The sequence below is a fragment of the Homo sapiens genome, chromosome 15, assembly GCF_000001405.40.
Source record: "Homo sapiens chromosome 15, GRCh38.p14 Primary Assembly".
Classification (NCBI taxonomy): Eukaryota; Metazoa; Chordata; class Mammalia; order Primates; family Hominidae; genus Homo; species Homo sapiens.
Genome location: NC_000015.10, coordinates 70,071,336 through 70,098,114, shown reverse-complemented (window position 1 = coordinate 70,098,114; position 26,779 = coordinate 70,071,336). Strand labels below are relative to the sequence as shown.

At 50.8% G+C, this 26,779-nt stretch overlaps 1 protein-coding gene and 1 non-coding gene across 25 annotated transcripts in view, besides 8 other annotated features; both read left to right on the top strand.

Annotated features, from left to right (window-relative positions):
- TLE3 (TLE family member 3, transcriptional corepressor) overlaps positions 198–26,779 on the top strand; it is a 50,128-nt gene continuing 23,546 nt past the window's right edge. For 13 of the 24 annotated variants that reach the window (XM_047432993.1, XM_047432992.1, XM_011521983.4 and 10 more), the window contains exons 1-6: positions 198–1,340; positions 1,854–1,954; positions 2,474–2,537; positions 3,539–3,583; positions 21,957–22,019; positions 23,508–23,582. In XM_047432993.1, coding sequence (XP_047288949.1) covers positions 1,317–1,340; positions 1,854–1,954; positions 2,474–2,537; positions 3,539–3,583; positions 21,957–22,019; positions 23,508–23,582 — 372 coding nt within the window. In that variant the 5' untranslated portion in view covers positions 198–1,316. Of the gene's footprint in view, positions 1,341–1,362; positions 1,439–1,853; positions 1,955–2,473; positions 2,538–3,325; positions 3,390–3,538; positions 3,584–21,956; positions 22,020–23,507; positions 23,613–26,779 lie in introns of those variants that run through there. The other 11 variants (XM_011521977.4, XM_005254628.5, XM_005254625.5 and 8 more) reach the window with 3 other exon arrangements.
- Positions 760–929: a silencer, noted in NCBI's record as "silent region_6604". NCBI's record gives its function as "represses an Ori minimal core promoter by ATAC-STARR-seq in GM12878 lymphoblastoid cells {active_cell/tissue: GM12878}" and the evidence as "EXISTENCE:reporter gene assay evidence [ECO:0000049][PMID:35858748]".
- Positions 940–1,059: a silencer, noted in NCBI's record as "silent region_6603". NCBI's record gives its function as "represses an Ori minimal core promoter by ATAC-STARR-seq in GM12878 lymphoblastoid cells {active_cell/tissue: GM12878}" and the evidence as "EXISTENCE:reporter gene assay evidence [ECO:0000049][PMID:35858748]".
- Positions 1,780–2,209: a silencer, noted in NCBI's record as "silent region_6602". NCBI's record gives its function as "represses an Ori minimal core promoter by ATAC-STARR-seq in GM12878 lymphoblastoid cells {active_cell/tissue: GM12878}" and the evidence as "EXISTENCE:reporter gene assay evidence [ECO:0000049][PMID:35858748]".
- Positions 8,886–9,473: an enhancer, noted in NCBI's record as "H3K4me1 hESC enhancer chr15:70380981-70381568 (GRCh37/hg19 assembly coordinates)". NCBI's record gives its function as "activates a minimal SCP1, AML or CMV promoter by ChIP-STARR-seq in primed H9 embryonic stem cells {active_cell/tissue: H9 hESC(primed)}" and the evidence as "EXISTENCE:reporter gene assay evidence [ECO:0000049][PMID:30033119]".
- Positions 14,960–15,508: an enhancer, noted in NCBI's record as "H3K27ac-H3K4me1 hESC enhancer chr15:70374946-70375494 (GRCh37/hg19 assembly coordinates)". NCBI's record gives its function as "activates a minimal SCP1, AML or CMV promoter by ChIP-STARR-seq in naive H9 embryonic stem cells {active_cell/tissue: H9 hESC(naive)}" and the evidence as "EXISTENCE:reporter gene assay evidence [ECO:0000049][PMID:30033119]".
- Positions 18,583–19,189: an enhancer, noted in NCBI's record as "H3K27ac-H3K4me1 hESC enhancer chr15:70371265-70371871 (GRCh37/hg19 assembly coordinates)". NCBI's record gives its function as "activates a minimal SCP1, AML or CMV promoter by ChIP-STARR-seq in naive H9 embryonic stem cells {active_cell/tissue: H9 hESC(naive)}" and the evidence as "EXISTENCE:reporter gene assay evidence [ECO:0000049][PMID:30033119]".
- On the top strand, positions 18,647–18,743 carry MIR629 (microRNA 629). Its single transcript, NR_030714.1, has one exon. It is a non-coding gene; the product is annotated as a microRNA 629 (primary transcript).
- Positions 19,190–19,796: an enhancer, noted in NCBI's record as "H3K27ac-H3K4me1 hESC enhancer chr15:70370658-70371264 (GRCh37/hg19 assembly coordinates)". NCBI's record gives its function as "activates a minimal SCP1, AML or CMV promoter by ChIP-STARR-seq in naive H9 embryonic stem cells {active_cell/tissue: H9 hESC(naive)}" and the evidence as "EXISTENCE:reporter gene assay evidence [ECO:0000049][PMID:30033119]".
- Positions 26,212–26,712: an enhancer, noted in NCBI's record as "H3K4me1 hESC enhancer chr15:70363742-70364242 (GRCh37/hg19 assembly coordinates)". NCBI's record gives its function as "activates a minimal SCP1, AML or CMV promoter by ChIP-STARR-seq in primed H9 embryonic stem cells {active_cell/tissue: H9 hESC(primed)}" and the evidence as "EXISTENCE:reporter gene assay evidence [ECO:0000049][PMID:30033119]".

Sequence of the window (26,779 nt, the reverse complement as noted above, 5' to 3'; positions counted from 1 at the left end):
TTCACTCCCATGCGAAAGTCACCAGCGGGTAGGGCCTGATTGCTACTTTTCATGCATAGTTTTAGACACAAGAGGGCATTGTGACGTCGCGCCCAGCGGCACCCAGTCGTAGGCCGAGTCCCGCAGCCCCACGTGGGGGCCCCGCGCTCCCATTGGCCAGCGCCGGACGAAGCTGCCACATTATTTTGTTACTTTTCAGTCCCTATTTGGAACTGCTCTCGCGGCAGTTCAGACCTCGTGCTCGTCCCCTTCGCCTGTCTGTGTGTGGTATCCGTAGGTCCGGGGCACTTTTTTTTTTGGTGTGTGTGTGTGTGCGTGCGCGCGTGTGTGTGTGTTGGGTGTGTGTGTTTTGGGGGTTTGCCGGGGCGCGGAGAGGAGAGCCGGGCCGAGGGGAAGGAAGGAAGCCGTAGAGCTCCCCGGTCTCGGGCTGCGTCTCCCCTCCAGCGCTCTCCTGCCTGTGCGCTCCGACGCGGCAGCGGCGGTGGCGCTGAGCGCTCCTCGGTGGGGACGCGGTGCTCAAGCTGGGAGCAGCGAGAACCCTTTGCGGAGGCTTCCCGTGCCCGCTGGACTTAGGATGCCAGGGCGTTTGATTTGCACCTACTGAGCCCGGAGTTCCTCCCCGGCCCTGGGAAGGGCTTGCAGCGGCGGCGGCGGCGGCGGCAGCGGCAGTAGCAGACGGAACAGCAGGCTCTCCTCTCCGAGGGGGGGCGTCGAAGCGCCCGCGCCGGGCTCCCGCCCTCACCCTCCGGCGCTCCTGCGGCCCCAAGCCACCACCTCGTAGCCCGCCTCCTTCCTCTTCTCGCCGCGAGCCCCAGGCCCGGACGCCTCTAGGATCGGACCCGCGCGCCCCGGATGCTTGGGGCTGCCCCGGCGCGCCCCCCTACAGGCGCGACCCGCTGAGTGACCCGGAGGGGGCCCGAGCTCGCCCCAGGAGGGGCCCCCGGCCTCGGGACCCCGCGCCGGACCTGCTGGGGAGCCGACGATGTCCGCGCAGTCCCAGGCATTGACGCGCTCGACGCAGCCCAGGGAAGGCGGCCGGCCGCTGCCCGCCGAGCCCTAGGCGCACAAAGCCCGCGCCCGCCGCCCGGCCCCGGCGCCCGCCGACGACTTTGCCGCCTGCTCCGCGGCTCTTTGTCTCCACTTGGGGCGGGCGCCCGACTCTGGGATTTCGCTGCGAGAACGAGCTGGGGGGGCCGGGGGCGAGCTCTCGGTTTCCCGGCCGCCCCCCGCTCGGGCTCGGCTCCCCCCTCCCCCGCACCTCCCCGGCCCGGGCTCTCGGCGCTTCCACGCTCTCGGAATCACGACCCCTCCCTGCCATGTATCCGCAGGGCAGACATCCGGTGAGTAATTGCAACTCGGTTTATTTAAGCATCTATCATGGCAGGGTAAACGAGGCAGTTTATCTGGCACCTCCATTTTGCTTGTTGCTACCTTTATGGTGTGTGTGTTTGTGTGTGTGCTCTCACACAAAGGGGGATGCGGCCGGGGGGCGCCGTTGAGAGAGGAGGTTAATTCCGCGCGAGTGGCGCGGGGGGCTGCTTGTGTTCCAGGGGGAGCTGTTCACGCGGTCCCCGGCCCCGCTCTGAAGTCTCCCAACTCACCCGGCTTGTCTCCCGCCCCCGCCTTACTGGGGAGAGGGAGGCCCTTGGTGAAAGGCATGGGAGCCCCGCTGCCGACGGGGAGAGATGGGGCGCCCCCCCTCCGCCCCGTCGGAGAGCTGAGAAACTTGCTGGGAAGGTTCTGGGCTGAGGGTGGCCTCTTTTGGTTGGGCGCCGTTGGGGAGGGGCCGGGGCCGCTCTGAGCGCGGTCTCATGCCCCCGCCCCCTCCCCTGTCTTGTCTTCGCGGGCTCCAGGCTCCCCATCAACCCGGGCAGCCGGGATTTAAATTCACGGTGGCTGAGTCTTGTGACAGGATCAAAGACGAATTCCAGTTCCTGCAAGCTCAGTATCACAGGTAAGGCCGGTGGGGGCCGCCCCGGGGCTGGCGGGGAGGGGTGGGTCCCCTGCGCGGCTCCTGCCATCCCCCGCGGGGACGGAGGGGGCTCCCGACCTAGGGGCGGCGGGGCAGCCCGGGCCTCCGCCTTTTGTTTCCCCTTTCCGAGCGCGCCGCCTTAACCCTTTACTGCCCGCAGCAGCCCGGCTCCCAGCGCCGCCCGTGGGGTCCCCGAATGAGGGTCTAGGTCGCGGCGAGCGGGTTCACTCCGGGTTCTGGGTGTCGGGAGCCAGCGTCAGGGTCCTACTCCCCTGCTGCCGTGATAAGTCCTTTGGCTCGCGGGAAGTTTCGAATTGTTTCACATCCCCCTCCCCACGGCGGGGACCCAAATCCCCCCGCGTCCCCAGGCTGTGGGATAATGGGGGCGCCCCCGGGGGGGTGTCAGGAAAGTGGAAAAGTGGCTCTAGAGGCCCTTGGGTCGGGGCCTCAGAGGAGGCTGTCCAGGCGCCACGCCTGAGCCGGCTCCTCCTGCCCTCGCAGCCTCAAAGTGGAGTACGACAAGCTGGCAAACGAGAAGACGGAGATGCAGCGCCATTATGTGATGGTGAGATGCGGCCGCGGGCCTGGGGGGCGGTTGGGGCGCCGACCCCGGCCGGGGGCGCGGCGTGGATCTGGGGAGATGAGCGCCAGGTCCCCACCACCGCCCAGCCGCAGGGCGGCCCTGAGAGAGGGCATAATCTGGTCTTGCCCTCCCCTTCCCCAGCTTCCATTGCCGGGGCCACTTGGAGGAGGGTGAGTGAGGGGAGGGGCAGAAAGAGAAACCCCGATTCCAGGCCGGAGACTTCTGTACTATCTTTATGTGCCTTTAATTTGTGTTTTGAAAGTTTCCCAGGGGCTGATTGCCATTGCCCTATCTTGGCTAGTAAGATAGGATTGGACCAGCCCATGTGAAATTAGGGTTGGTAAAAATCTCTCTTAGTGACCTCCTGGGAGTGTTTGGAAACTTTTCTGCTTTGCAGCTGGGATCTAGCCAGAGTAGGACAGAAGCCCTCCTTCCCCAGGGTGTTGTGAGGAGTGGAGAGGCCTTGTAAAGCTCTCTCTGCCTCCACTCCCCTCCTCAGGGATCCCCCAGCTGGGTATCTTCTCCACGCTGGGGCAGTAGGCAGACTGTCTTCCTTTTGCCCAGCAAGTTTTAATCTTCATTTGTGAGAGGGCACGGCTCCCTGCACTGCTTTCCACATAAGAGGCCTTCGACACAGTGCTAAATAACTCTCAGAGGACAAGAGGGTCCCAGTGTACACACGATTCCCTGTTGAACCTGAACCTTGTATAAACAGGATATAGGGCACATGTGGTGCTTGTGGGAGGGAAGGCCCAGCTCCCCTTACTACCACATAATATAACGTTCTGTTGAGATGAGAGGAACGCTCGCCCTTGTCAGCTCTTAAACCGCTCTGTAAGCTGGCTTTGGGGTTTGATTTAAACTTCTTTAGCAAATGTATCGTAAAAGTATGATTTGGCCAAAACCTTTCCAAGAAAAAACTGATTTTGAAAAATGACCAGATTTCTGTGTTGTCTGTTAATAGCCATTCTTTTTACTTTTAGTACTATGAGATGTCCTATGGCTTGAACATTGAAATGCACAAGCAGGTAAGTGCTTTTCTCTTTTAAAAATATATTTCATTTTTTAAAAACTTATATATGTGGACTTCTTATGTTCTCTCTTGTTTGAAAGTGAGCCTGCTTCTTCGATTCCTCCCCCTTCTCCTTGAAGAGTGAATGGATCCAGTCCTTGAAATGCAAGGTCTGAGGCTTTGCTGATTTTTTTTTAGACATGTTGAGCTTTTAGCATTTGAGCTTGTGAAATTAGTCCTGGTCTTGGATCTCGGTGGAGGATAAAGGACCAAAGGGAAAGTTGTACCTCCAGGATCTGCTTTACAAACTCCTGAAAGCCCAGAGGTGGCTGGCTGCTTTTATCTGTTTTAATGTAAAATTCTCAAGAGGAAATGCAGGAGGATTTTTTTTTTCTTTCTCCTTTTTTTTTTCTTTTTGCAGAAATGTGATGTTCTGCCTTGATAAGATTAAACTTCAAGAACCTTAAAAGCCAGGCTGAGCTGTCGAAATTTAAGGGAACGAAGCCACTAACTGCTTAAAAATATGAAGCCAGAATGAAATACAACTTCAGTGCCTTGCATTGACAAGGTGGCTTTCTCATCCCTGTCTTGATTTGAAGGCAGCCGAGTTCCCATTTTACAGAGAAGGAAGCTGAAGCTCCTGGGTGAAGTAACTTGCCCAGGGGCAGCCTAGCCAGGACTTTCGAGATGGCTGGGGGTTGAGCTCAGCTTTGAAATCCTGAAGTCAAACCAGTTTAGCTAGTGTGGTGTCGTTTGATGGATATGTAAACTACCTGGTATTGTCACTCTTCTAATAACAGTATACCTCAAACCGAGCAAATACAAACACCCTTTATCTCAGTGCATATCAGTAACTAGTCCCAGTGCTAGGCTGGGCTGTGGGAGAGGCCTGTTTGTGTATTTGTGTTCTGAGGAAAGGCTGCCTATAATTTGGCTTGGCCAACGTTTAGAGTTGACTTGGCACGTATAAATGGAGCAGGCAGGCCGGTTGTTCTTTTTAACAATTGGTGTTCATGAAATCTCAGAAGGCTGTTGACTCATTCTAGCCTTTGGTGACCGTGACTTGAATGGATTTTCTGCTCTAAATTAACAGTCGTTTACAAGGTTTCAATTTTGCTCTTTAAGGAGGCAGGACCCAGGGCAGGTGAGAAGGGCAGGTGACCCTGGAAAGTGGGCAGATTCCTACCCACTCGGGTGGCTTCCTATAGAGCCTTTGGGATCTGTAGTTTCCTTTCCCCTCCTGGAGGGAGCCCCCAGTGTTGGGTGAAGGGAAGCCAGAAAGGGGCCTGAGTTTATTGAGCAATGTGTGGGAAGCCAGCTTGTGGCTTCCTGAGGGATTAGTTAGTCCCTTAGGAAGGCACATGAAGGCTACCATGTTTTTACTTCTTGACACACAGAAATAATAGACAGGGCTTTATACGTAAAGATATTTCTCCTTGGAAAAATAGAATAGAGACAGGTTCTGCAACTGGAAGGGGCCAGGTCCCGGAAGAATGCTTGAAATGGAACTGGGGGCCCAGGTGTTTCAAGGACCTTGGGGTGTATGCAGGGTGCCACTTCCTCCCTTTGTCTGCCCTGTCTTAATTTTTTTTTTCTCAAATAGTATCTTGGGTGTGTTTAAAGAGGGTAATTGCACCCAGGTTTAAAATTTATAGCAGCAGTTATTGGAAGAGCTTGGTAATTAAGGTGTAATGTCTCGTTGCATGTTGAGGTCTGCATGGGTGGTGTTCCGCATGTCTGTGAATGAATGGTGCTTTGGCACTAAGAATCCACCTTGGCTCGCAGCAGATCTGTTCTGTGAGTCCTGGGGATGCTGTGAACGCAGGAAGAGTTAAATATCTTAACGCATTTGGTGGTGGGGTTTATATAAAGAGCAGCTGTGTACATCTGGGATTTCTGGCCATTCCCCAAACAAGGTTCTTAAGGGGAGAATGCCTGGGGTTTGGCTACGTTGTCTCATTTAATCCTCTCAGCTGCCAGTGGTGGATAGAGGCATTCTTTGCCCCCTGTTTATAGGTGAGGAAACTGAGGCTTCAGGGAGGCCAGGAGGGCAGAGCTGGGATTCAAATCCAGCCCTCTGGCTTCCCCACTGGGCACTTTACCTTGCTTGCCACTCACCTTTGCCCTCTAGCCTGAGTTCCCAGCCTGAACATGTGTGCTCTGAATGCAGTGGCTTTGCAAGCTTATGGCAGTCTCTGAGTTGGGTGAAATCACCCTGTGGCTGTGGAGGAACAAAGAGGCAAGGAGGTGAAGAAACCTGTGCCGTGAAATGCAACCCTGATCTAATGGAGCTGGCCACTCCCTAGGTTTGCAAGGGTTCTGTAGAAGAAAGCCCTGCCACTAATTGTAGTGTGGGTCTTGGGTGCATTTGGCGAATGGTGGTTAGGCCTGAGCAAACAAGTTTATCAGCTGACCTGTTTAGCGGTTGACTGGTGTTTTATCGGCACACACAATCAAGTGACTGGAGTGCTTGAATTATTCATGCAGTGTCCTGCCCTCTAGACTTGACTGTTCGTGTGATTACATCTGCCTGGAACAAACAGGCTGGATTCTTCATCTTTAAGCTGGGGTGGGGGTGGGGACTGTCTGTACTTTTATATAATAGATGATCTATAGAGCTAGCACCTTGGGAAGTGTGGCAGTCCTCAGCCTGCGCGCATACACGCACACGCACTCCACCATCACCACCACATATTTTTTTTAAAAGCTCTCCTTTGCTGGCTCTATGGGAAATGCCAATTAGCTGGGAACCTCGAGTCCTGCCAGATGGGCCCGGGTATTGACAGAGGGCAGCTGATGAGGTGCGTCCAGCCCATTTTTATTTTACTGAGAGGTTAAACTCACTGTGGCTGGCTCCTTCTCTGGCTGTTTCTCTGTCTCTCTCTTTTTCCAAGCTGTCAAAATCCCAGAGAAGTAATAAATGGTTTCTCCTCCTGCTCTTCTGCCTCCCTCCCTAATTATGGTAAAGCAAAGATTACAGAATCACAGGCCTGGCCCGGGACTTCAAGAGGTCACCCACCTCCACCAAGCCCCCTGCTTCCAGGCAGAATGTCAAGGGTGGTTCAGAGAGTCTGGGAAGGCAGTGATGACTGACCGGCTCATCACTTGCCATCTTGTTTGTGCAGAGGCTTTCCAGTGTCAGCCACAAATAACAAAGCCAGCTTAAAACCAGGGGCCCCAGAGCAATTGCCATGCATTGGATTTGAGGCACTGGCTCTCTGAGAAGCTGGGTCAGGCAGCCTTTTCACCCACTGTTGGTGAGCACTGACATTTTTGAAAGTGGACTTGAGCCATTTTGATTTTGGGGCAGTGTCGTGCCGACACAATACAGTCACCTTTTTCTGTGAACTGAACAACCTTTCCTGTAAGTTTCTCTTTGAATCTTGGAACTGGAAGAGCCCTTTGGCTTCTCATGCAAACTTTTCAAGTTACAGATGAGGAAACGGTGGCCCAGAGAAGGGAAGCTTATGTACTCAGTCATACAGTCCCACGTTAGTGGTAAAGCTGCTACTGCTGCTTCCCTTCCAACCCAGGACTCTTTTCTGTAAGACTCAAGAAATGAAGAGTGCTCCTTTTCTAGTGTATTCTGTGTCTTTAATTACTATTGCTTCTTTCTGTGTTATTATCCAAACAGGCTAAGGCTACAAAACTGGCCCCACCAAAGTCCAAAGTGCCCCATTTCGGGTTGTATAATCATATCACTGAACCCTTATTGTCCACAGTCCTGTTTTGAATTGCCAGCTATTTGCACAACTAATGATTTGATGTGTGTAATAATAATACATAATGCATAACTAGCAATCCCAGAGGAAAGATTCACAGACCGGGAAAGGTGGTATATATAACCTGTGAACTTTTTACCCTAGCCATGGGGTGCCATAAACACAGGGCTGAGGTAGGAAATGGAAAATCCCCATTTGTCACTCCCCTCCCCTCCCCGCTCTGGATCTTCTCATCTAAATGATAAGGGGCTCACCTGGAAGATCTTGAGGCACACAGAAGTTTTGTGACCACGGTGAAGGTGCAAGGTACAGGTGGCCAGAGGGAGCTACCAGGCAATGAGGTTACAAAGGACTCTGCCAAGGAGTTGAGCCTATCTTGATAGGAGAATGTGGGACCACTTGCAAAGTAGAAGGGGTCAAAGGTCCTTAGACTAGGGAAGTGCCTATTTGTGTGGCATCTGAGTTGAGCTGTGAAATTTTTTTTTTCTTTTTTGCCAGAGTGCTAGCATCCAAGAACCCTCCCACCCGGCCCCATGCCCTGGTATCTGTCTTGACTTTTCCTGCTATATTGATCTTCCCTGGAACAGACTGTAATCACGAGTCCTCTCACTGAGTGGGTGCCTGCCTCGCTCAGCTTTGGGGTCTGCTGGGCTCCAAGCTCCCTGCATGCTGTCTAGCTAGAGGGAGGTTGCCCCACCCCTCAAGACTGCCTTTGGACCCCTTTTCTCTAGTTGCCAGTGGGAGTGGTAGAGTGGGGGTTTCAGTGCTTTTGGGGTCTTTTCCTTCTTGTGCATTTGTCATTGAAATGACCCTGGGAGATGAGCAAATGGCCCCTTGTCCTTACTTTACAGATCAACGGGTGGGAACCTGGCTCCTAATTCGGGACTCATTCTCTGAACTCTCTTGGACCAGGAGCCCGTGGCAGACACGGAGTTCTTCCTTTCCTTGAACTCCTCCTTCCCACCTAGGCTGTTTGTTTCCATTTTGTTGAAGGAGTGAGTCAGTCAAGGAATAAATCTCCTTTTGCTTTCTACGTGGGAGAATGTCATTCTGTCTCATTGTTTGTACAAAATACTGGGACACCAGGGGCAAAAACGTGACAAAGACCTAAGCTTGGCAGTGTTTTCCCCTGTGATCTGGCACTCATTCCTCGTCTCATTTTTGTAGGTATGAAGGAAGCCCCTCTGCTGAGGTCTCTATAGCACTTAGTATGTAATAGGTGCTCAGTAAACATCTTGGTTTTTCTTCAAAATTTACTCAGGTTATCTGAGAGTAGAGTTCCGATTCCCTGAGCCCTGTGAGTAGGAAGTGGGGATTTTAGTTGTGGGCTGGCCGCCCGCTCTGCAGGCTTCCTCCTATGGCCCAGCATCCAGTTTCTTCATCAGTGAAATGAGGGGGTTGGATTCATTCCCAAAGCAGTTATTAGGGGACTGGGATGTGCTGGGTGTGGGCTGGGGTTGGTTACACAGCCGAATAAGACACCATTCCCTCTGCGGGGGAGTCGGATGTCTAAAGAAGTAATTGCAATGCAGTGAGGTAAGTGCTAATGTGGCCCAAGTGTCATAGGAGGAGCACCCAGCACAGAACAGCTTATTCTTCTTGGGTGAGAGCAGACTTCACTGAGGGCTTTGCTTGGCGCGAGTCTGAAAGGGAGGGTAGGGTTTATGAGGCAGAAGTCGGCAGCCGAGGCCCCTCCAGGGTGGCAACAGCTCGCGGCAAGGCAGTGAGATATGTTCTAGAAGCCACACGTCTTCGGAATGATGTGGGGCGGGGACTGCACTTGGGAAGTGAGGCGAGGTGGTGACATTTTGCAGCAGAGCGATCTCCAAGGCCCCTCTGCCCTTGCAGTCGCGGCTCCCCACCCGGTGGCTCCCTGCATCCCTGCATGGCTGGCTCTCCAGGGCTGGCCTGAGTCCATCTGCCGCGGGGTGGGGGTGGGGGCGGGGGCGGGGGCCCGCTCTGGGCCGTTTGTGGCCTGCTCTGCCTGCTTTCCTACCGTAATATGCTGCTTTGAACTTTATTCCCCAAAGTGGCATTGTCTCCTTTCTCATATTGGTAATTCTGTAATGACTGGTTATGACCCGCCCCCTCCCCCATATTTAATTCTCATCAGCCCAGCTCTCCACTTTGCTATTAATGATAGCAGCCAGCAAAATAGCTTTCAACATGCCATTGACAGTCTGGTTTAAGAGAGCACTTGAAGTAGTGCTAGACAGCTGAAAGCACCCATAATTGTGTACCAGAGTGAGAACTGCGTGCTCAAGGGCCTTGTTTTTATATGCTTAAAGGGACAATATCTTGTTTTCAACAAATGCTCTCTGAGACTCACAGCCAAGATGCTTTCTTCCTTTTTCCTTTTCCTTTCTTCTTTTGGCTTTCTCTTCTCCTTCAAAATACATATTTAAAAAAAATTCTTTATAAAATAATTGTTCCCTTCAAGTTGGGGTTAAGGAGAAACTTAAGGAAGGGGGAAACGTCCTGCCGCCATGTAAGCGGGGAATATTTGGTGGGTTTGTTGTTTTGAAGCATCGTCCTTTGCAGGCAGCAAGCTGTGGGTCAGCCTTGCCCTACTGAGGGTCCTTAGGACCTTGCGTTTCTCAAGGAGGTAATGGGAGAGTCTGAATTCGCATCAGCATTGATTTTGAATTCTTTTCTTTGCTAAGGATGTTGCACAATCAGTGGGCTGCAGAGCTGTCACTGTGAATGTTTAGGCAGAGGCCACCTTTTGGGGGAGGGCTGGAGGAGAGGGGTCACCGTGTTGGAGAGTCAGGCCATGACCGCTAAGGAATCAGATTCTAGGAGGCTGTTTGCTGCAGAGTTGATGGCCCAAGAGGCCCGTCTGGAAATCAACAGGGTGGGTGGGGCAAGGACTTGTATTCTTAAGTACAGGTTCACACCAGGCTTGGAGGGTTAACCAGGGGGCCCGGCTAGTCCACCCGGCAGATTTTATCTGAGAACAAATACTTTTCTCCCCTTCACACCAGCCGACTTCATTATTGCTTTGAAAATGCAGTCCTTTGGAAGAGGTTTCCTTTGCCTCTCTGTCACCAAAGCCTCCCATTGCCAATGTGTCCTGTGAAGGGAGAAGAGAGAAGCAACTTCCCATCTGTGGGGCCTGAGAGGCCAGGGAAACCCTGTTGGGGCCTGAAGTCTATGTTGTCCTGTTCTCTCCCAGGCTGGCTGCTCTTGGTAAAGGGTAGGAGCATGGATGGGCTTGGCTCGTGTGTCTTAGGTGGTTCCTTCCATCACCCACTGTGTGAAGGATAGGATCCAGTGTTCTGGCTGCTGCCACCACCAAATAATCCCAGGGGAAGTACTTTCCAGAGGACAAACTGTTTGAAAAATTTGATCTTCCAGATATTATAGATTATAATGCTACGGCCTCTTAGAATTTCTGTAGCACTTGATTGCAAAGCAGATTCGACATTTTCATCTTAGCAGCTAAAATAATGGGTATTTGGGTCCAGGACAGACAGACACCAGGATAAAAGCATCAGAGCATACCCTGAAAGCTTGGGGTGTGAAGATGACCTGTGTACTAGAGGGCTGTGTTCTCAAATTGGGGTTGGGGAGGTGAGGCCTGTGCTGTGACAGGACTGTGAGTTCCGTGAGGGACAGGACCATTTTGTATTTGTTTTCACTAAGGGTCCTGAACCCTGAGCAGTGCCTGGCCCATACTGGATACACAGTGTGCATTTTGTGGGGACTCAAGGAAGGAAGGTAATATTCCAGCTCAGGGTTCTCTCTGACCCTGAATAGTGTTATGGACTCTTTGGGAAGGATAGAAGCTTTCTTAGTTTTCTGACAGAGGCCTGTAGGCTGCAAACGTTGTGTTTGTAGAAAGAGTTGTAAAGGTGTCATGAGCCTTTATTTAAAAGTGTCTTTAATGTATCTTAGGCATCTTTTTCTTTTCATCTAACACTATGGACAGTTTAAGTGCAAAAGGGGAAGAAGGCAGGGTGGGGGTGCGAAGAGATAACTGGGAGGAAGAGATGACAAAGCAGAGATGCGGAAGAGACAAGTGCTGAGTGGGTGAATTGGTAAACTCGGCTTGCCATGCCTTGGCTGTTTGGGCATGGAGTTCCAAGTGTTGTGGCCTTATCTCATGAGCCTTTTAAGTTTGACTATTGTTCACAGTTCTTCTACTGCTTTTTTTGTTTGTTAATTTTGAATGAAAACTACCGCAGGCCGATAGAAGTTTCTTTTTCGTTTGCGCTGGAAGGCTGACCCTTTCCTCAAGTGGAGACCCAAATGCAGAAGAGCTCTTCCCACTAGTGTTTTAGCACTGAATACCAAATGCAATTTGGGTACAGGAGAGGGCTCTCCCTTCCTGGTCAGCCATGAAGACTTGAGGTTTAGACTCCACCACCCTGCCAGCTATATGACCAAAAGGTTGGAGGAGGCGGCCTTTCACCCACTTCCCAAATCTTTCCCTTGGGCTAGCCCTCGACAGGTCTTTGCTGAGTTTGGATCTGAAACTGATTAATTCTGATAATACTGGCAGGGGCATGCTTTGGAACCGGTGATGCTTTGTGATTTCTGCTGGGGAAAATGAGAAGAGGAAGGCAGTTCAGTGCAGACTAGTGGACAAGGGATGGGAGTCCATTCTAGCTCTCTGGTGGGGGTGAGGTACAAGAACTTCTATTAACCTTCCTGGCCTCTGTCCAGGAAGAAGTAGGACACTCAGAGGGCTCAGAAGCAGCAGGTGATGCCAGATGGTCTGGAGTGAGGGTCTAACTGGTCGGGTGGGATAGAGGAAGGAGGAGCAGGGGAGACAGAGGAAGTGAGCCTGTTGGCACTGATTGGTCAATAGGTCTTCAGCTCATCCTTAAACCCTTACCTGCTTCTTTTCCTAGAAGGAGGCCCCTTCCTCTGATCTCTCTCTCCAGTGAAGAAAGCTGAAGTCCAGTTCTTATTTTGCTTTGCCTAACAACAGAAGTCCTGGGGAAAGACAGGAAGAATTGAGATTGATGGTACAATCCCTGTCTCCCATCCCTCAATCGCTGGGTTTTCATACTTTATCCCAGAGAAATGGGGGATCTCCATGAAGCCAGACTTGAAATGGGGGAGAAGCAGCCTGGTTTAGAGCTCGAAAGACATGCCCCTCTCCTGCAGGGTCCTGCTGCTGTTGGCCTGGTGTCGGTCTCCATGTCACCCAGTCCTTGTGTGTGGCAGGCACCCACAGGCCTGGTCTGCAGGAACTTGAGAAGTGTCTAGATACCCCTTTCTCTTAGCCTTTTGGGTTTTCTCACTATTCTTTTACCTGGTTTTTTACCTTACTTCTCAAGAGACCCCTACCCAGCTCTTCCTCACTATCCATTTGCCCAGGGATATTGGGCAAACTCCCTTTTTAAACTCCCAGGATGTTGAATGCCCATTGGGCCTACTGGATGATGGATGGGGTGGGTTCCCAGCAAGCCAGTTTTTCTTGGCCAGTGGATTCCCTTTCTCCCTCAGAAGATCACAAGTTCTTGCCGGGTGATCCTGGAGAGTTAGGTATAGAGCACCAGAAGCTGGGAGATTTGTCTTCATGGCTAAGAGGTTGGCTTTGGAGTCAGACAAATGTGGGTTTGAGTCCCAGATCAGTTCATGTTGGTGTGTGACTTTGAGCAGACTGTTTGACCTCTGTGATCTTCAGTTTGCAGTGGAGATAATAATAACACCTGCCTGTTGCGGCAGTGCTGTCCAGTAGAACTTTCTTCAGTGATGGAAATGCTGTATGTCTGCACTCTTCAGTAAGGCAGCCACCAGCCACGTGTGGCTCTTAAGCACTTGAAATATGGCTACTGCGACTGAGGAACTGAGTTTGAAATTTAATTTTAATTAAATTTAGCTAGCCACGGGTGGCTGGTGGCTTCATAAATTGTACAGTTACAGTTATAGGGAGTGCCATGAAGGATGCATATAGCCTGCTTAGCACAAAACCTTGCACATGGAAAGGCCGAAGCAAGGTATTCTCACAAGGGGACAGAGTCCCCAAATTGTCAAGGCCTCAGACATAGAGGACAAGATCCTTGGTGTTGCATATGTTGTAAGATTTCTCAGAGCCCTTTCCCATATGTGACTTGTTGGCTCTACGGTCCTGCAGTGTAGGCACCGTGGGCGCCACGCATCAGATAGCAGCACTGACGGTTAAAGAGGTTGAGTAACTTGCTCATTGTTGCACAGCAGACCAGTGGCCAATTCAGAACTGGAAACCAGGCCTGCTTCCCTCGTGGACCTCAGTGATCTTTATCCATAGGCTATATCAAGATGAGGTCTTCTGTGGTCTTCCCACATGTCTACCCCCAGACCACCATACTACAGGCATCAGTTCCAGTGCTGGGAAGAAACCAGATGAAACCTTTCAGAATTCAGTAAAACATGAGCATCAGCCACATGTGGATCAGGGATTGCCACCCTGGGCGCTGTTTACATTTGGGACTGGATAATTTTTTGTGGTGGGATTGTCCTCTGTGTTTAGGATGTTTAACAGCATTTCTAATCTCTACCCACTAGTTGTTGTTATCAGTGCCCAAGTTGTAACATCCAAAAATGTCTCTAGACATTGCCAGAATCCCTTGGGGGAAACAATTACTATTGGTTGAGAGGCCTTGTTATAGAGGAAGGAGTCTGGCTCTAACCTGGGAGATTTGCTTACCACCTGGTCTTCCTGTGTGGTCTTCCTGTGTGACAGCTTCTTGCCCTCTCTGGGCCTCATTTGACTCATCTGTAAAATGAGAGATCAAATGGTGTGGCTTGGGAGGAGGTCAGTTTGAGAAGGAGCATATCATATAAAATAAGTTTCTAAATGACCGATCTTGATTTTTATAGCCTAAGAAATGCCATCACTCCTGCCTTCCTTATTTGGAGAAAGAAGACCCTCTAACCCTTTTTATTTTAATTTACGGAACAGGTATGCTCTTTGGTTGTGAATAAGATGGTAGGTAGATAGAATGGGGCTCTGTCTCTGCCCCTCACCTTGTTCTTCCCTCATGCCACTTGGGTTTTCCAAAGAGTCCCTGCCCTTAAGAAGTCCTAGCCAGCATTTCATTTGTAGTGCTGACCTGATGGGGGGAGACCCCCAAAATTTAATGAGCTGTCTCTGCAAGGGTAATGTGACTTTTACAGCCTGTTGAGGGGCAAGGGGAGATTTGCATAATGTTCCAAGGGGGATTAGGTGGCTGGGGGTTGCCATGGCAACCCCACAGGGATGAATTGAGAATTTTTCCTCCTGGCAGGAGTTGGCCAATGGAGTCTGGGAAGGTGGGGGAGGGGGCAGGGGGTTATCTGAGGGGAGGGAGGAGGGGGAAGGAGAGAGGGAAGGGTGGGGGCGGTGTGCCTGGGATGAATGGGCAGTGTTGGGGGAAGGTATAATCTGAAAAAGCACTCCCTGTTCTGTCTGTACAAGCAAGCTCTTTGAGAGCCATCTCCCCCCACAAGTAGGGGTGGGAGGCAAGCAGAGTTTAGTGTGTTTGGGAACCAAGAAATTAAAGTGAACAAATATTTAAAGATTATTGGATCTTGTTAACAGGAAGCCCGGTAGATGGAAACTGAAAGTCTGAGGAATGAAACTCTTTAGAGTCCTAAAGCCAGGAGGGACTTGAGCTGTCATCTGGGCCCTGTGGTGTCTGCCTCCAAGTCTCTGTTGGGTCTCCATGGAATGCTCCCAAGGGCAGGGCACTCACACAGCACCTAATTCATTTTTGAGAGCTCCGATTATTACACTGGACTCAGATTGGACTTCTTTATTCGGAAACTGAGGCCCAAGTGCAGGATGGATCTGGGCTAGGAATGCAGGACTCTAGACTGTATGTTGCTACCTGTTTCTGGGGTTGGGTTGCCTGGATGCATGCTAGCTTGGCCTAACCATCCCCAGTTCCCTTACACTGTAGACCCCTGGAAGAAAAGAGGAGGTGGGATTCCTTTCAGGGAAGTGTGCAGAAGGGTCGTCCCAACCCCAGCAACCCCAGAGTCCCTTGCCGTTGATCGGTCCTAGCTGGGGAAGGGTGAGTGTGTTTCCTCCTCCCTGCCCTGGCTCCTCACTGTCATCCTCACCCGCCTGTGAAGGGTACAGGGGCTGGTGCCCAGAGTGTCCTCACAGGCCGGCTCAGGCCAGCATCCCCTTCCCTTCCGGAGGAGACAGATCCTCAGGGTCACGCTGAGGGGGGCTGGGCCTTTCTTGTACCAAGTCCTCCCAGCATAAAGAATTCAGCAGGCTTCCTCGGAGGGCATAAATATTTAATGGCGTTGTAGTTATATATAATTTGATCAATATGTCAGTGCTAAAAGGGCCTTTAAGAAGGCTCACCTGTCATTGAGTGATCTGTGATGTGAACCTTCACCAGCCCCTCCAGTAGCGGGAGGGGCTACATTTCCCAAGGCTGCTGCATAGATCATTTGTTGACCCTCCTCCCCTTCTTACATTGTAGCACTGCTTCCCCTCAGAGCCCATGGCGTGGATGGAGCAGGGCCTGAGAACCCCACCCCAGCTTTTGTTGGCTGTCCCCCGGCCCCCCCATGGATTTCTTCCTCTGTTGATAAAACACCCACTTGTTTTATTTCAGTGTTCTCTGAGCTCGGCCTAAGGAGAAACTACCTGGCAAGGACTATCCTCTTTTAGTCACATCATTGAGAGGCTATCCATTTAGTATTGCCTAGGAAATGCAATGGGATATTTTAAGTTAAAATTGCCCAGACGTGGTATTCTGAATCTGGGTGATTGGCGCCTGGCTGCTGGGAGGCTGCTGGGAAGGTTGGGGCCAGGGCCACCTCTTTCTGCACAGCCTCCCACCCCAGCCTTTCCCTGCAGCTCTGGGATTTAAATCAAGATGAAGCAGACTCTCTTCAAACTCCAAGGACTCAGTCAGAGAAGTAGGTAAAACCTGATTAAAATTTAAGAACCTCAGAGCTGACTGAGATGACACCCCCAAACACACACATTTTCTAGAGGAGTAACCTGAGACCCAGAGGCCTGCTGGGATGAAAATCGTCACTTCCCCATGGCTTTGCAATGTAATTCACCTTTCAAATGGGCAGGTCCCTTCCTCATCTCATCTTTCACACACATCCGCAAACTGGTCTCAGACTCACAGTACCATGCTCTTTGCATGACACTGCCCTGATTTTCCGAAGAAGAAATCCTCATTTCACAAATGTAACTAGAAGCCTAGTAGCATGGGATGGCCGCTTGCCTGTCTCACAGACGTGGAATTACTTCCCGCTGAATGCAACAACTTGGAGAACCCTGGCCTGGTTGTCTTAGCCTCACCAACCAGTCTTCCCTTTTGAATCACAGAAACTGCACAGTAGGGGCTTGACACTTAGAAGTATGATATCATTGTTCTTGCCTAGAGGCTCTTCCACAGTGAAGCGCAGTTTTGCTGATGGACAGATTTGAATGGCTCGTGCTCTGAAGACTGGTCCTTGGGACCCAGCCCAGGTCAGCCAGCTGCCCAGCAACCAGCCAGCATCCATCCACATCTCAAGGTGGCTTGGCTCTTCTCTGCTGGTCTTTTGTAAATTCATGTGATGCTCTGTTTTATGGAGGAAATGATAAGCTGCACGCCAATTCGGGAATATTTAGGGTTCTAAAACTCTAAATTAGGGCTCCTGGATCTTATACGTTATCTAGTTAATCCCTTCATTTTGCAGACAACGAAATTAATGCCTAGAGAAGGGAAGTGATTTGCCCAAAGCCACACAACTAAATGGAGGCAGAATTGGAGGTAGAAGCCAGCTCATCTCTGCGTGGCGTTGGAGCATAACACACTCTTTGAAGGGGCAGTTTTCTCTTCTCCTTGCCTTTATTTGGCTGAGGTTAAAAGGAATTGTGCATTCAGAGTCCACAGGTACACACGACAGGGCAGTTTAAAACTAACTAGCAGACAGACTCTCTGGTGGAAGTAGCTCTCGACGGTGTGTTGGACACAGTCACCTAAATTAAAAATAAGGGCAAGGACTGGCTGGGTGCTGCAAGCCCAGGAGCAGGAGGTTGCTGGGGGGTACAGATCAAGAGCAGGCTCCGTTTCCCTTAATTTAGTGTCTTGGGTCAAGGGCCAAGGATAGTCTGAAGTAGCAGCAAACGTGAATACTAGACTGTGGTTAGAGAAATAGACTTTTAGAATGCTCAAGTACCCTCGGTTTACAGCAAGATGTTCAGAGGTCCTGCTTTAATGAGGAGATGATCATGCAAATGGGAGCTACTAAGGCGCATGGAACAGATTGCTGTTTGGGAAATTACACTTGCCCCCCACTATCTTGTTTTCTGTCATTTATTTGCCTAACAATCTTGACAGAGATGCAGGGCAGATGTTACTCCCAGCGCCCAGTTGGTAGTGCAGATTCCGGATGTAGCAGGACCTCTGTCCCCATTTCTCTGAACTGCTTCTCTGTCTGTATCTAGTAGATTAGTTCCTTCTGAGGAACAATGTTTTTCCACCAACAAAGCGCCTGCTTTGAACCATACTTGAAAAGAAACTTTCAAAGGCGGCACCAGCCTCCCTGAACACCTTTTCCAAAGTGCTTTCCAAAGGGAGCCATCTTCCCACCTCCCACCACCTCTCAGATTCGCTTCTGAAGACCTGGCTCAAAAGCAGTGGCTTTGTGGGACCGAGATGGAGGGAAGGATGGAGGTCGGCCTCTGGAAACTACAGCCGCCTTATCGATAACGGATTGCGCCAAGTTGCCAAAAGGAGTTTTCCAACATACGATCGAGTTCCAGTTTGTGATTTGTGACCTGTCCCAATTGTTGAAGTCACACTTGATTTTTTTTTTTTTTTTTCCTTTTTTGGAACTGATGTTTAGAGCTTGTTTGAGTTGGATCCAATGCTGTTTTAACAGCTGTTCTAATCAGAAGTGCTGTCAATTATTAACCTTAATGGTGGTTTTTCTTTCAAAAATATTTCTCTAAGCTCTCTTGAAATGTCAAAATTTGGCTTCTTGGTAGGAAGTCATTTAGTGAAATCACTTAATGGCTGGGCATCAGTTTCCCCATCTGAAAAGTGGAGATGTTGACAAGCGCCTTCTCCGCGGGGTTATTGTGGATGCACACATGGCGAGTTGGGTGGGTGATATCAGCGGTCATTACTGTTGTTAGGAGGGCTTCTGTTAAGCCAGCTTTCCATTTCCAGGAACTTCCCCTCCCCCAAGCGCCACCCTCCAAAAAATAAACATTTCTTTAAAATGTTGAGCGAACAGCTTTCCTGTTCATGCTTTGACTCTGCAGAGTGCACGCAGCCCATTCTCAGGGTTGGGCAGCCTTTGTAGAGATGGGGGAGGCCCAATCCCTGCTTCCACTTTGTGGGGAGACCCCAAGAGGGTACTAGCAGATGATGGCACAGTGACAGCTGGGAGGGATGGGATGTGCTTGCTTCATGTCCCTTTCCCAGGGGAGGGGCTGGGTTTACGTTGGGAGAACTTTTACGGTGAACCAGGAGGTTCTCCCAACGTAAGCCCAGCCCCTCCCCTCTGCCTGCCTCAACCCTACACAGTCCTGTCTGGTGACGTGCCAAAGTCCTTCCTGCCTTGCAGAGAGGCCTCTCTTCGTCGAACATGGGCCTCAGGAAAGACAGCCTGAATGCCACTACCCCAGGCTTGTGGAAGGTTCTGCATCTGTGTGGCATTGTTGCGATAGCCCTCAGTTGATGCTTGTTTGTGGTGTTGGGAGGCAGGAACTACTTTAGGAGGGTGGAGGGGTGAGAATGAGAGAGGACTTGCCCTGAGCCACCCAGCTGTGGTCACCTGATGGCCCGGATGGCTACATAAATCCTGGGAGATCCGTTGTCCTCATAACCAGAGTGAGCTGGGCTCCAGACCAGCCCTATGGGAAGATCCTGTCTGTGGGAAGCCTTTGGCCACGTGTTTGCTGAAGGGTGTGGGGAAGGGCAAGGTCAGCTACGTTTCTTTTTTGTCAACTCCCGAGACCCTGACCCTTGGCCTGTTTACCAGTGGAAGGAGGCCATAGCCAGAACCCTTTTATAATCACCCTGCCTCCCTGCTCTCCCAGAGACTGTGAGAGTTAATAGTTGCTGAGGAGGCCAGAATGACTGGGGATGTTCTGACCTTGCCCCTGCCTTCCTGGCTGTGGGGAGGAGTAGTGGCCAGGGACCCATCTAGGTGGCTTGCGATTGGCCTGGCTTGGAGGTGCCACCCCACCCCGTTGGTGAAGGGCTTGGGCCACTGGCCACCAAGTGTATGTCAACACTCCATCCACCACGGCCCCTCCCACAGATGCTGCCCATGCTGGGGCAGGCCCAGATCCACAGCAAGGGGTCACTGCAATATGAAGTCTCAATAAATGCAGAGATGCCAGTGATACTATTCTTTGGGCCAAACATTTACGGAGCAGCTACTGTGTGCCAGACACTGCTCTATTGTTGTTTAAGATAACAGGCCTTGGACCTGTGAGCTTCCTAAACAGTAAGGTTGGTTTTTTTTGTTTATTTTTGTTTGCTTTTTGTTTTTTACATATCTTTCTATTCTTATTTGGTGCATGAACTCAAAGGTGAGAGAACTTGTTACTCTGCCGGTTTGGAGTGAGCTGCAGCCTATGCTTGTTTCTAGAACTCCTGCCCTATCCAACCCGGACTTTTTTGCTTCATTCCCCATTCCTACTATCAGTTGATTTAGGCGAGGAAAAAATAAGCAGAGTGAGGAAGGACCCTGTTTGGGAGAGCTCTTCCCACTTAACTAGATTAACAATTTATATAATGATTATTTAGTAATCCTCCTGGGTTCCTTAGAGTATGAATGACGGGTGTCTAGTGGGTGGAGAGGCCAGGGATGCTTTTAAAAGCCCTGCAGTGCACAGAACGGGCTCCACACAGCAGTGAATTATCTGACCTCAGATGTCAATAGCATGGTGTTTGAGAAACCCTGATGTATGGTGTCCTGGCTAGAGTGCCCCACACATGTGTCAATGTGGAGTCCCAGTGGGTCTGAGCTGGGCAGTTTGGAAGTGGGGGCCATTGTTGACACAGTTGGCCTGGGATATGAGCGACAGTCCTTTATAACAGGAATTGTCTCTCCCCAAATGCCAACAGTGGTGCTGGCTGGGAAACACTGACTCTGTTCCTGAGGAGCTAGAGTGTTCTAGGCAGAAAGCTGACAGCAGTGATTCCTGATCCTCTCCCTGCCAGGAACCCCCACTGTAGCGGACAGGCTCCGTAGGTTGGCGAGCCCTGCCACCGTGGCTGGCAGCCCAGGACACAGGCCTGCAAAAACCCATAAGGCTCTTTAGTTGATGGCCTGCCTTTCCACAAACCAGAGGCGTCCTCTTTAGTGGCCAAGGGTGGAGGGGGTGGAGGGTGTTAGCCCAAGGAATTCTCCCGAGGTCCAGGGTCTATTTATGCGCCTTCAGATTGTTTTTATTTTAAGTGCACAAGGATTTCTCATCCAGAATCATTTGACATGCAGATGATCACAGATTTTTAAAGGCTGTTGTCATGGTTTTGTCTCTGAAAGATTGCTATGTGCTGATGAAAGCTTTGAAGCCAGCTTTGGGACCTCAGTCCTGGCGGGCTCAGGATTCAGAATGAGATAAGAAAAGCAATTCTGAGAGTCGTCTGTCAGTGGTTCTAGGCCTTTCTATCTGGACTCAGTTAACCCGTATAGCACCACTCTTGATCTGAGATCTAAAGTTTACATAGGATACTGGTGGAAACTGTTGACTTTCTAAATGCAGTCTTTTCTAGGGTGTTGGGAGATGAGGCAGAGAATTGATCTACCTTTCTAAGATTGACTTCTGTGAGGGATTAGGGATCTAATGAATTACATCTCTGAGCAGCTTCTTAGACAAGGCAATGCTATATCCTAAAAAATGAAGTGTTGGCTGGGCATGGTGGCTCCTGTCTGTAGTCCCAGCCCTTTGGGAGGCCAAGGTGGGCAGATCACTTGAGCCCAGGAGTTTGAAACCAGCCTGGACAACGTGGCGAAACCCAGTCTCTACAAAAATACAAAAATTAGCTGGGAGTGGCAGTGCACCTATAGTCACAGATATTTGGGAGGCTGAGGCAGGAGAATCACCTGAGCCCAGGAAGTCGAGGCTGCAGTGAGCCAAAATCATACCACTGTACACCAGCCTGGGTGACAGTGAGACCCTGTCTTAATGGGAAAGAAAAAAAAAGAAAGAAGGCTTAATGGTAGGATTTTAGCCTGGTAGCATATATGTGGGGGAGGGATTGATCTTGGTGAGGGAGAGGCTAGTCCCAGGGAACCCTTTGCCACATAGGACCGCTTATCAGCTTAGTCCCATTTATCTGAGAGCTCATGTCCTATTGGCACTGGGCACCAGTGGGCAGAGCAATTCCTCTCTCACTAAACTGTGTTTCACTCTTACAGTGGGTTTTGCTGGGTTGTTGGGGGTGATTTTTATTTCGTTTTGCTTTAATTAGGGATTCCATCCAGAGGATGCAAACTATATTCTGAACCAGACATGTAGACTACCTCTGATGGAAATTGGAGCTCCCTAAAATGTAGGCAGCCTGGCTGCAAGGGAGTTGAAAGAGATTTCTTCATGCTGTGGATTTAGCTAGAGCCTCCTGGTAGGAGGCTGACTGAGGGCAGAAAGGATGGAGCCCCGTGGAGAGGGGCTGTGGTCTGGGGGGAGTTTGCATTTCCACTTGCCTATGACATTTCAGTGACTTGATTTATTTGCCTGAGCTTCATGTGGTCTCCTTGCCTTTGCAGACAGAGATTGCGAAGAGACTGAACACAATTTTAGCACAGATCATGCCTTTCCTGTCACAAGAGGTAAGACCTTCTTTTATTATTTCTTCCTTTTCTTTCCAAATCAGCCCAGTGGCTGGTGGGGTCTCACTGGAGCCTGAGCCCCAGCCCCAGCCCCAGCCTCAGCCCCTGTCCATTCATACTGACTGAGCTGACAACCTGGAGATTTCCAGAGCCTTCTCCGGCCAGTCTGGAGGCAGGGGGCCATATCAGAGGGACCATTTGCTCCTTCTTCTCATAGAATTGTTTCTCTGCCATCACCTGAGTCCAGAGATTGGAGTGCTGGCATGCGACCTAACCATCAGTGGGCAGTGGGTGCCTCTTTCCCATCCAAACTAGCATCCCCAGCCCAAAGTGGACCTCAGTTCCTGGTACAGAGTGCCCTTGCTGGGAGCATGACCCAGGTGGTCATGTCACTTTCTACGCCTACCTTCCAAGGGACCTCCATTTGGGACAGCGGCTGGACTAGTGGGTGATTTGAGATAAATGCCTGCAAAGAAGCCCCCTGGTGCCGACCAGACAGACGGGCCGACTTTAGTGGGCTCTGTTTCTGTCCTCTGATTTCACTCCAGCCAGGGCAGGCCCTGCCCTCTACTCCCACTCAGTGGCTGGGACCATGTCAGCTCCCTCAGGGACTCCTAATGGTGACCTGAGTAAATGATTGAATTAATATATAAGAATCAGATATGGCAATGCCCTCGGAGCTTGCAGCCCAGTAGGAGAGAAAGCTGTGTATGTGGCTGGTACTACCTCAAGGCCAAAGGGAATTAATGCAACCACTTTTTAAAATAGACTTTATTTTTTTAAGAGCAGTTTTAGGTTCACAGAGATTTCCCATATCCTCCCCACTATCAACATCCTCACCAGAGTGGTACATTTGTTGAAACTGATGAATCTACATTGACACATCATCACCCAAAGTCCGTAGTTTACATTAGGGTTCATTTTACCACTTTTTCTTTCTCTATCTGTTCATCTGGAAACATACTTTGTTTTCTCTCTATTTAGACAGGTATGGATAAGGTATATGTAGACATACTTTTTCCCCAAATCCTTTGACGGTAAATTGCAGATATCCTGACAATTCACCACTAACTACTATAACTGCATCTCCTAAAAACGGATACCATCCTTCATGATTACAGTATTGTTACCATGTTTAGAGAATTAATAATCATCCTGTAATATCATCTGATATCCAGCTCATACGCAAATTGCATGGAAAAATTTGTGTGTGTGTGGTTGACTAATAGCCATCTTTTGGCATGCTCTTTGTTTTAGAACTTAAAAGGAAGTTTCAATTACAAAACTAATACATGCTCATTGAAAAAGGTCTAAAAGAGAAAGTAAAATCGCCTGTCACCCTCCCCCCTACTTGTGCCCTGTGCCTGTTCAGTGGGACTCCTCTGTCTGCTCTGGGCCTCTCCGAGAGGCCCTGCCAGTGCTGCACAGCCTGTGACCTCCTCTGTCCAGGAAAGTGGCTGCATCTAACGCACACCCTCTTCCCTCCAGCACCAGCAGCAGGTGGCGCAGGCAGTGGAGCGCGCCAAGCAGGTCACCATGACGGAGCTGAACGCCATCATCGGGGTACGTGGACTCCCCAATCTGCCTCTTACCGTGTGTATAGCCCTTTTATTCCTCTCATTTATCATAACCAGAGATTGACCCTGACCTTAGCTGGCCTCAAAGAATGGCGGCCCCAGGGCTCCGGCTTCTACAAGCACCCCAAGGGCTTGGACCCATGTAGGGCTGTTTCCCCCTTGGCTCCCAGTTGCCTCCTAGTCCTCAAACTAAAGGGGAGCCAGACACGCCTCAAATCCACCTCTTCAGCCATCTGCCTCATCTTCCACTGGCTTTTGGTGTCCTTGCCATTGAGGAGGGTGGGGGCCTAGGGTCACCTTCAAGGCCAGGCCAGCTGGCCAGTACCTGGCCACCTCCTCACACTTACCCCGGGGCCTGTCTGCCTCCTCCCTGGCAGAAGTCTGCCCTTCTTTGGCCACCTGGGATCAGAACAGTCTCTGCTGTACTGTTGATGTGCATCGTGCTGTGGAATTTGGGTTTACGTCTTGCTGTCCCATGCGCGAAGCTGCCTGGCTGAGCATTCATCATGTACGCTTGTGAACTCCAGCTGGGGAGCTGAGACTGGTTTTCCTGACTTTCTAGAAGTCCCGTCTCCCCTTTACACAGGAAGACATACCCAAGAGTGCTCTGTGAGGCCCACTTCCGGACTGGCCCCTTAGTGGAAAAGGGAAGCTGGGTCTACCTGGCTTGTATCTTTAATGCATTTCTTAGGTTCAAGTGGCATCTTTCTCCTGCTTGCTGCTTTGGTGTGAGGCTAGTGACATTTAAGATAAGCACCTGAGGAAGAAGAGTCTTTTTAGTGTGACTTTGGGCAAGGCTCTTACCCTTGGGGTGTACCTGTCCACCTTTCATCTCTGAAATGAAGAGGGTGGACAGGATCACTGCTTCCCAGTCCACGGAGGAGCTTCTGGACGGTACAGATACAGGGGCACTTGCCCCAGAGGTCTTTTCCATAGGTCTGGGGATGGGACTGGAAATCTGTGTTCCTAACGATTTCTAGATCATTCTGAAGTGTAGTTAGGCTTGGGAAGCAGTAGACTGATTCAACTCTAACATTCTGGGAACCTGGTTGGTCTTCTTTCCTCTTTCTGTTCTCGTGGGAAGTCACTATTTCAAGGTGGAACTGAAGGCCCCACAATTTTCCTCTGCTTGGTAGGATACATGATGACTCTTGACTTTTCCGCCTGGGGCAGAGACCTGGAGGTCTGTGTTTTAGTCATGGTTCTCCCCCGATGTGACCTTTGGCAAGTCCCTTCTCTTCCTTGGGCCTCAGTTTCTGTATCTGTAAAGGGAGAACGTACACCGGCTCATCTCTTTGGGCACTCCTGACTCCTACCAGGAATGCTGGGAGGCTGGAATCACAGAATGACACTTATGGACACCGGCCCTTCCATCACACTGTCAGGACCCGTGATGGTTGCAGAGTCCTTTGATGAAGGCAGCACAGTGGGTTTGTCCTTCTGGGCTGAGCCCATAGGGACACTTCTCAGTGCTGCTTGGGCAGGTGGGGGATGCAAGCATTGGCCTGGTTTGAATCCTGGCCTACTGTGTGGAATGGGCAGAGAGGAGTCTTGAAACTGGAACGTGAAGAAGTGTTCAGTGCTGGAAGGCAGCACCCCAAGAGGGGAAATCATGATATTTTAATGTTTAAAGTATCATCAGAGATCATCTAGCCCGGGGATCGTCAACCTTGACACTGTTGAAATTTGGGGCCAGATCATTCTTTGCCATCCTGTGCATTGTGGGATGTTCAGCAGCATCCTTGGCCTGTAGCCACTAGATGTCAATAACACCCTGACACCCTGATATTCATAGGAGGCAAAATGGCCCTTGGTTAAGAACCTCTGATCTAGCTCAATGCCCTTGTTTTACAGAGAGGGGAAGTGATTATGATGTTTAGGAGGAAAGCCAGGCCAGAGGCCCAGGTGGCTGACTCGCAGCCCAGGGCTCTTCCCCTGGCCCTGGTGCAGCCCTGGAGGGTGGCCTGTGTCATCTGTCTCAGTGACCAGCTCTCAGCTTGGTGGTGGTTCTGCTAGTGGTAGCAGGGGGCTGCAGGGTTGGGACATACCTTGTGAATTCTGTTTTCCGACATTTCTCCTCTTCCAGCTCCTCACCCCATCCCCTTTCAACCATCTTCTTGAGGTTTCCAGGCCAACTCCTCCTACCCCTGCGGTGGCCACAGCAGGGTCCCCTCTCACCCTCTGCCCCCCTCTTTGGAATTAAAATCCTCTTATGAAAATAATTTTTTTTAAGTTTTAAGAAAGGAGTAAAACTGGGGGAGAAGCACTGCTTGGATTAGCTGTATTTCCCTTAAGTAGTATTCAGGAAGCTACAAGTTAGGTCGAGGCAGCTCGAGGCAGACATTGGAATTCAATTAAAGCCAACGAGTGGGGCCTGTGACCCCCATTTTCAAGGTAATTGCTTCTCCAGCTCCAAGTGAATGCAGCCATCGCCCTGTCATTAAGCAGGCAGCCGTCTAATCGCTGCGCCTGACAGAGCCTCACAAGGCAGGAATTACGGACAGCCGAGTCGTGCTCGCACTGGGGAGCCGTGCTTGACTGCACTCCCGCGAAGGAGTCCGCTAATCTAGTCAGGGCGTTCTTTATCTCCTCCTCGAGGAGAGCAGAGAGCGAGCCTGCAGCTGAGCTGCCTCTGGGAAGCAAGGTGAAGAAGGATAACGGGGTGCAGAGCCATGGGCTGAGCAAAAGGGCAGGCATCCTGGCCCCAGCAGGAAAGGGCAGGAGAGAGAGGGTCCCAAGAGGCTCTTGGCAGCTTTCAGTGGCTACCCCCACTGCACTGTTGGATTTGCTGCTCTGGAAGGAGACACAGCCTGGCATCCTGGTCTTGGACTTAGAGGAGGGCTTTGGGCAAGTCACTTTGTTCCTCCAGGCCTCAGTTTCTCCATCTGCCCTAATTGTTTAGTGGCTCTCTTGCTCATTGGATTTGAAAGATTCTGAGGTTGTGGCTCGGCTCAACTCAACTCAAAGAGAAATCAGATACCTCCGGCATGGGCAGGGAGGTAGCTGGTGGCATATTTATCATGAGGATTAGAGTATTCCTGGGGTCTTCCTTCCTGGTGAGAAAGGGCAGGATCCAAGGTCAGGGTGGCATGTGTGAAAAGGGGAAGGAAAGACAGACAGAGGGAACCAGGCTCTCAAGCCAAGCCTACCCACTCCCCTGCTGGACCACAGGGAACTCAAGTG